Genomic DNA, 8,165 nt, shown 5'->3' on the forward strand with positions numbered 1-8,165 from the left:
CCTCAGATGACCCACTTGCCTCAGCCTCTCAAAATGCTGGCATTACAGGTGTGAGCCACTGCGCCCCACCAAGTTCATGAGTTTCTAATACCTGTCATTTGTCTTCTCGGTAAGGATCTGGGAGAAGGAGGTGGTTCCCACACCCTTCCAGAGGTGACCATTTTGAAGGACACTTGGTGCCCCATGGCTAAGCTAAGGGGGAGCTGGAGTTGAGTCATTCACTGGACAGATATTTAGGGAGAACCCACATGAGCCTCTTGTGTGCTAGGCGCTGGGGAGACCTCAGGAAGGATACGTTGCAGTGGTCCCTGCCCTCGGGGTATCCACGGTAATCACCATCTCTAACAAAGACACAAGAGTGAAAGTAGGGCTACCCCCAAAACTTCTGTCCAGCAGAACCCATTAGACAGTAGTTGGAGGTCTGGCTGGGGACCTTGTTAACACGGTCATGCAGCTGAGGACCACCGCATGGGCCCCTTGGCAGGGATCACAGGAGTCACAGCCAGACCACGGGGCCCACAGAGCCCACGGGAGGAAGCAGAAACAAGTCCCTCAGGGAGAGTGACTCAGGTGCAGCCACACATTGGCCGTGGCTGCCGTCAGTGTGACTAGCACCCAGAGGACAAGGGCACTGCCTTAGAGTCCATGGTCCTGCGATGAGGAGGGACCCGTATGGGTGGGGCCTGCCTGCCACTTTTAGCTGCTGCTGCTAGCTCTCTTTCCCACTGTGAAGAATGCTCTGGCTTGAGCCATGAGTTACAGCATCCTCCCACCAGGTGAGCCACCCCTCTTCCCCATAGACCCTGGGGCCATCTTGGAGAAAGCCAGAGAAGAAAATAAACTGAGAGATAAGTCATGTTTACCTGAGGAGACTAGGCATGATCTCAGAGGCCTGACTGAGTCCGTGACAGTGGGCTAAGTCTAAGATCAGACCAAAACTTAGACCCCTCCAGCCCTAGTACCCAGCATATGCAGAAGAACCAATCAGTACCTGCTTAAGATCTTTTTTTTTTTTTTTTTTTTTTTTTTTTTTTTTGAGACGGAGTCTCGCTCTGTCGCCCAGGCTGGAGTGCAGTGGCGCGATCTCGGCTCACTGCAAGCTCCGCCTCCCGGGTTCACGCCATTCTCCTGCCTCAGCCTCCCGAGTAGCTGGGACTACAGGCGCCCGCTACCACGCCCGGCTAATTTTTTGTATTTTTAGTAGAGACGGGGTTTCACCGTGTTAGCCAGGATGGTCTCGATCTCCTGACCTCGTGATCCGCCCGCCTCGGCCTCCCAAAGTGCTGGGATTACAGGCGTGAGCCACCGCGCCCGGCCCCTGCTTAAGATCTTATGCGTGAGTTCGTGAATCCAGTAGAGTGGACTCATTTCACAGGGAGGAAAAGGAGACTTGCAGGGAATTGAAGACACTTGAAGTGAGTTTGCACAAGGTTGTGTAGCCAATGAGTGACAGAGCACATAGGGCCACGGATTTAACCGTTCTGCCTGGGGGACCTCTGAGGGGCCGTTTCCTGGATTGTAAAGTGCCTCCTGCAGAGTGTAGCTGTGAGAACTAAAAGAAAGCAAGCTGAGCTGGGCATGGTGGTTCACGCCTGTAATCCCAGCACTTTGGGAGGCTGAGGCGGGTGGACCGCCTGAGGTCAGGAGCTCGAGACTAGCCTGGCCAACATAGTGAAGCCCCTTCTCTACTAAAAACACAAAAAATTAGCTGGGCGTGGTGGCGGGCACCTGTAATCCCAGCTACTAGGGAGGCTGAGGCAGGAGAATCACTTGAACCCGGGAGGTGGAGGTTGCAGTTAGCCAAGATTGCGCCATTGCACTCCAGCCTGGGTAACAAGAGCGAAACTCCATCTCAAATAAATAAATAAATAAATAATAAGTAAATAAAAGAAAGCATGCTGATAAAGCTTTTATCCTGGCACGTCGTAAGTGCTCAATAAACTTTTGACTGTTGCCTATTTGACAGTTTCCCTTGCAGAGAAATACTTAAAATGATTTCAGTTATTTCAAAATTGTTGGTGTAGTAATAGTATTATGGTTATATATTTAAAGAGAATTTGTATCCCTTTTAGAGATACACCTTGAAATATTTATAGATGAAATAAAATGATGTCTGAGATTTTCTTCAAAATAACCCAGCTGGCAGGAGTGGGGGATTGGGGGAGCAGGTGAGTCAAAGTTGGCAGGTCCAACGCTTGCCGAGACAGGGAGCTCATCGCACTCTGCTCTCCACTTTTGTGTGTGTTTGAAATAGTCCATAAGAAAAAGTTTTTATGTGTACATTTGAAGCTGTGTCCTGGGGGAGGATGCACATAAGACATTTATACTCACACACCGTAGTTTCAGACTTGCCTAAAAGCCTTTTTCAACATGCAGAGCACTCAAACACAGTATGTGATTAACAGTATAATTAGCACTAGGTTTATGTTTTGTTTTTTAAAATCAGTACGGCATTGTTAGCACTGTGGTTTAGTGTTCTGCAGAATACTCCTGCAACTTTAGCTGGGCATAGTGGCATGTGCCTGTAGTCCCAGCCACTATGGAGGCTGAGGTGGGAGGATGGCTTGAGCCTGGGAGGCAGAGATTGCAGGGAGGCAGATGTTGCAGTGAGCCAAGATTGCACCACTGCACTCCAGCCTGGGCAATAGAGCCAGACCTTGTCTCAAAAAAAAAAAAAAAAAAGAAAAAAATGTTTCTTTCTTAAAAACTCCCAGGGCCAGGCAAAGGTGGCTCACGCCTGCAATCCCAGCACTTTGGGAGGCCGAGGTGGGCAGATCACTTGAGCCCAGGCATTTGAGACCACCCTGGCCAACATGGCGAAACCCTGTCTCCACTAAAAATATAAAAATTAGCTGGGCATGATGGCGCATGCCTGTAGTCCCAGCTAGTCGGGAGACTGAGGTTCAGGGGATCACTTGAGCCTGGGAGGCAGAGGTTGCAGTGAGCTGAGATTACGCCACTGCACTCCAGCCTGGGCAACGGAGCGAGACTCTGTCTCAAAAACAACAACAACAAAAAAAACCCAGAAAGAAACTCCCAAATATTATACCTCTGTCTTGGTGATTCACAGACAAATTATTATATTAAAGAACCTGAGAGAGATCCTGTAGTAAATAAGGTTGTTTAACTTTATTTAACTTAGTATTTCCAAGTTTAATTGTCTATAGAAGCCCACCACCCCCCCATGTGCTTTTTTTTAATAACATTGTTTATTGCTTATAAACATCTTGAAGGATACTAAGGGTCCATGGTTCCCAGTTTGAGAAACACTGGTATGAGCTACATCATAGAATCAGACTTTGTGGGCTGTTCTGGGAGTTTAGGCTGTTGTTAAACAGGGTTTCTAGAGGTTTGACAAAAAGAAAATTTAGTGCCAGCTATGTGCCTGAATGTGTCCCCTCCAAAATTCATGTTGGAACTTAATCGCCATTGTGGTAGTATTAAGAGGTGTGGCCTTCTGGAAAGTGATTAAGTCATGAGGGCCGTGCCCTCATGAATGGATTAGTGCCCTGTAAAGGTGCTGCAGTGAACTAGCTGAGGCCCTTTTTCCCTTCCACCTTCTGTCCCTTATGCCATGTGAGGACGCAGCATTCAAGGGACTATCTTGGAAGCAGAGACTGGGGCCCTCATCAGACACAAAACCTGCCAGCAGCTTGATCTTGGACATCCCAGCCTCCGGAACTTTGAGAAATAAATTTCTATTACTGATTAATTACCCAGTCTCAGGTAGTTTGTTATAGCAGCAGAAACAGGTCAAGACAGTGCCTTTGTCTCATGCTCCCCTTGTCCACTCTCCTTCCCCCTTCTCCTTCCCTAGCGGCTCCCACCCACACCTGCCATACACCTTGAGGAGAGAAAAGGGCAGGCAGCCTGGTGAGTATGACTTGCTCACCTCCCCACAGGAGCAGCGTGTCTGGCTATGGGTATAGAAACATTTCTGGCTACAGGGGCTCAGGGTGAAGGCTCAGCCCTGCCCTTTCCTCTCCACAATTGTCAGATGTGACTTAAGACAGGTATTCCTAAATTAGTGCTTGGCTTTATTTAATTGGGGTTGATACATACAGTTAAAACTATGTATTGGCTGGGCATGGTGGTTCATGCCTGTAATCCCAGCACTTTGGGAGGCTGAAGCGGGAAGATCATCTGAAGTCAGGAGTTCGAGACCAGCCTGGCCAAAATGGTGAAACACCGTTTCTACTAAAAATACAAAAAAAACCAAAAAACAAACCCAAAAATATAGCTGGGTGTGGTGGTGGGCACCTGTAATCCCAGCTACTCGGGAGGCTGAGGCAGGAGAATCGCTTAAACCAGGGAGGCGGAGGTAGCAGTGAGCCAAGATCGAGCCACTGCACTCCAGCCTGGGCGACAAGAGTGAAACTCCTTCTCAAAAACAAAAACAAAAACAAACAAAAAAACTGTGTATTTAGCCATGCTTTGCACATTCAGCATTTTGAAATGATGCAAATACATTGCTTCTGGTTTTCCTTTTAGCTAGCACTTGAACTCAGGCGTTAGTGCATTGAAAAGGACTATGAAACCTGAAAGTTAGGATTTCCTTGCTCCAGAAGCTTTATTTTAAAAAACCAGAAGAGTGTGATTATAACTGAGAGTCATAGAATATTGATTCACAAAGACTTTTTTATTTATCTGCCCACCTCACAACTGGCCACATCCCCTTCCCTCCCCGTCTGCAGCTCAGCCAAATGCCCCCCATCTTCCTCTTCATTCTCCAAGCTGGCTTTCCCCTGTCAATGGTCCCCAGAAGCTCTGGGATTTAGGAGCCCTCTGCTCACTCCCTTCCATTCCTATCTATTTCTCTATTCTTTCCTTTCTATTTCTCCTCCTCTCCTCATGTGGAGGGTTGGGAAGAGTTACTAACCTTGTAGGGATGATGCAGATTAGGGTGATAATGATGCTAATACTAAACACTGATACAAGTGTTATTAGCATTCCATCACATATGCTCACAAAACTCATAAAACACTGCTATGGTCATAAACCTATGGAATCGATATTTTTTATTGTTTTATAGATAAAGAAATGGAGCCCTCGAGAAGTTAAGCAGTTTGCCCAAGATCATACAGCTGCAATTTGTATTGCAACAAAATTTGTGACCTGCCTAAATTTTCACCATCATTCATATTTCTGTCACACTCTGGATCCTCCATCTACCAAAAATGAATATAGTGACATGGCCACGCACCTGAGGAATCCTTTTACTTCCCACAGGTATGGGGCTATAGTTTCAAATATTTGCACAAAAAATATTTAGGCCAGGCACAGTGGTTCATGCCTGTAATCCCAGCACTTTGGGAGGCCGAAGTGGGTGGATCACTTGAGATCAGGAGTTTGAGACCAGCATGGCCAACACACAAAACCCCATCTCTACTAAAAATACAAAAATTAGCCGGTTGTGGTGGCACACGCATGTAGTTCTGGCTACTCAGGAGGCTGAGGCAGGGGGATCATTTGGGCCCAGGAGGCGGAGGTTGTAGTGAGCCAAGATCACTCCACTGTACTCCAGCCTGGGTGACGGGAGTGAAACATTGTCTCAAAAAAAAGAAAAGAAATTATTTAGATTTGCACATCTGTTTATCCAACCTCATCTCATTCATCTCCCCTCTAGGCTCCCTGAAGCCCAGGACCGGCAGTTCCTTAAGGAACTGTGTGTTGGCATGCCTCAGTGCCTTTGCACAAGCTGCTGTTTCTGTCTGGAATCTCTAGACTCCTTCTAATCTTCCTCAGCTGAATGCTGCCCAGCCCACTTCAGCTTAATCATGCTCCCTTTGTCCTGAAGGCTTCCCGGAGAAGCCCTCCATCTTCTTCAGCCAGCCTGAGTGCAGGCTCCCCTGTGCCCTCCCATACCCACTGGGCTCACCTCTGTCACAGTGTTGCTCGTGCTCGGCTGTCCTTCCTCTGTAAAGTGAGCTCCTTAAAGGGGACACTGACTAGCAGAGTCCTCAGCAGATACTGGGAGCTGCTGAGTCAATGTTCGCTGAATGACTGGAAAAATGAGAATTGTCATCTTAGAGGAGGTGATAGGAATTGAATTCTGTGTTTCTCAAAGGTAGTTTCTTGCACCTTTTGCTCTTGCATAATAGTTTCCATTTCTTGAGGAGGCGGGGGTGGTGTTTTTGTTTGGACCATCCTAGGAGCCATCACTTGAACTTCCTGCCACACCAGATTCAGCCCACTGCAAAGAGGCTGGCTGCATTTGATTTCCTCTGCAAGGAAGAAAAACAAAACAAAACAAAAGTCTTGATTTATCACAAAACTCAGCACAGGAAAGCTTAAACAATGGCTCCCAAACTCAGCTCTCATGTTGCTAAAAATTATTTGTCTTATAGGAGGAAGAGAATTCCTCAAATCCCACAAAGGCAACTCTTCTTCCTGAAGACAGCAGCTTTGCCAGTAATGAGGGCAACATTCCCAATACAGGTTGGTGGTCAAGTGACTTTTGTGAACCCATAAGCTAGTCAAGGGAGGAGGGGCTCTCAGGGTGTCACTGGGGAGTGGGTCCAGTTAGTTTTGAGCATAAGATGGGCGACAGCTATGAATTACAACCTCATTGGACAACATCCATGTTAAAAGCACATAATGAAACATCAAATGTTGTGGAGGATGCTGGGAGCCCATTGAGTGGCACATGGCTGTTCCTATGGGGAAACAGAGTCTACCTCTGTTCTCATCTTGCACCTTCCTCTGATAATTGCCTCCAGGAGCACCTGCTTTAACTTCTTCCAATACTGACCTCCTATCGTGAGGTCTGTGTTACTAGTTTCACTATCTGTTGAGCACTCTTTGATTTTATGATTAACTTTGGTTTGTTTGTTTTTTGAGACAGGGTCTCATTCTGTCACCCAGGCTGGAGTGCAATGGCGAGATCTCGGCTCACAGCTCACTGCAGCCTCTGCCTCCTGGGTTCAAGCAATTCTCCTGCCTCAGCCTTCCGAGTAGCTGGAACTACAGGTGCCCATGATGACGCCAGGCTAATTTTTGTAATTTTTTGACTCCTCATTCTTGAACATGGTTATAGTATGCTAAGTTGGCAAGCACATTGAAAACTTCTCATCTTTGGTTCCTGACTTTTGTTGTCCCTGCTGAGAAGTTAGCTGGGTTTTTGTTTTTTTTGAAAATAAGCTGTTTTTCATTCTCTGTGGCTGCTTTTAAGATTTTCTTATTGCTTTTAGTGTTACTTTTTACTGTGAGGTGTCTGGACCTAGATTTCTTTTTATTTATCTTATGTCAAATTTATAGGACTTTTTTTTTTTTGAGACAGAGTCTTGCTCTGTCTCCCAGGCTGGAGTGCAGTGGCCCGATCTTGGCTCACTACAACCTCTGCCTCCCGGGTTCAAGCGATTCCCCTGCCTCAGCCTCCCGAGTAGCTGGGACTACAGGTGTCTGCCACCACTCCTGGCTAATTTTTGTATTTTTAGTAGAGACGGGGTTTCACCATATTGGCCAGGATGGTCTCAAACTCCTGATCTTGGGATCCGCCTGCCTCAGCCTCCCGAAGTGCTGGGATTACAGGTGTGAGCCACTGCGCCCGGCCAATATAGGACTTTTGAGTTTTGGGATTGATGTTTTTCATCAATTTTAGAAGATTCCATTACTATTTTACTTTCTTTATTTTTATTTATTTATTTATTTATTGAGACAGAGTCTCACTCTGTTGCCCAGGCTGGGGTGCAGTGGCACAATCTCAGCTCACTGCAAACTCCACCTCCCAGGTTCAAGCAATTCTCCTGCCTCAGCCTCCCGAGTAGCTGGGACTACAGGCACGTGCCACCACACCCAGCTAATTTTTGTATTTTTGGTAGACATGGAGTTTCACCATGTTGGCCAGGCTGGTCTCAAACTCCTGACCTCAAGTGATCCACCTGCTTTGGCCTCCCAAAGTGCTGGGATTACAGGCGGGAGTGGTTTTACTTTCTTTAGATTTAATTTTGCCCCATTATTATTCTCTTTTCTTTCAGGGATGCCAGTTCAATGTATGTAAGACCTTCTCACTTTATTCTTTATGCCAGTAATTCTCTCCTTTTGTGTTTTTCATCCCTTTCACATTCTATGCTTCATTCTGGATAGCAATTTTTAGGCTGGCCTATCTTGCAATAGGTTTTCATTTCATCCATTTCTAATTAGCTGTTAATCCCAACTGTGGGACT

General features: G+C 46.7%; 1 long non-coding RNA gene across 1 annotated transcript; it reads left to right on the plus strand.

Annotated features, from left to right (window-relative positions):
* The first annotated feature begins 5,031 nt into the window (after positions 1-5,031).
* On the plus strand, positions 5,032-8,165 carry LINC01870 (long intergenic non-protein coding RNA 1870). The gene is made up of 3 exons (XR_001739614.2): positions 5,032-5,229; positions 6,348-6,438; positions 6,845-8,165. It is a non-coding gene; the product is annotated as a long intergenic non-protein coding RNA 1870 (long non-coding RNA).

This window comes from Homo sapiens, chromosome 2, assembly GCF_000001405.40.
Source record: "Homo sapiens chromosome 2, GRCh38.p14 Primary Assembly".
NCBI classification, from domain to species: domain Eukaryota; kingdom Metazoa; phylum Chordata; class Mammalia; order Primates; family Hominidae; genus Homo; species Homo sapiens.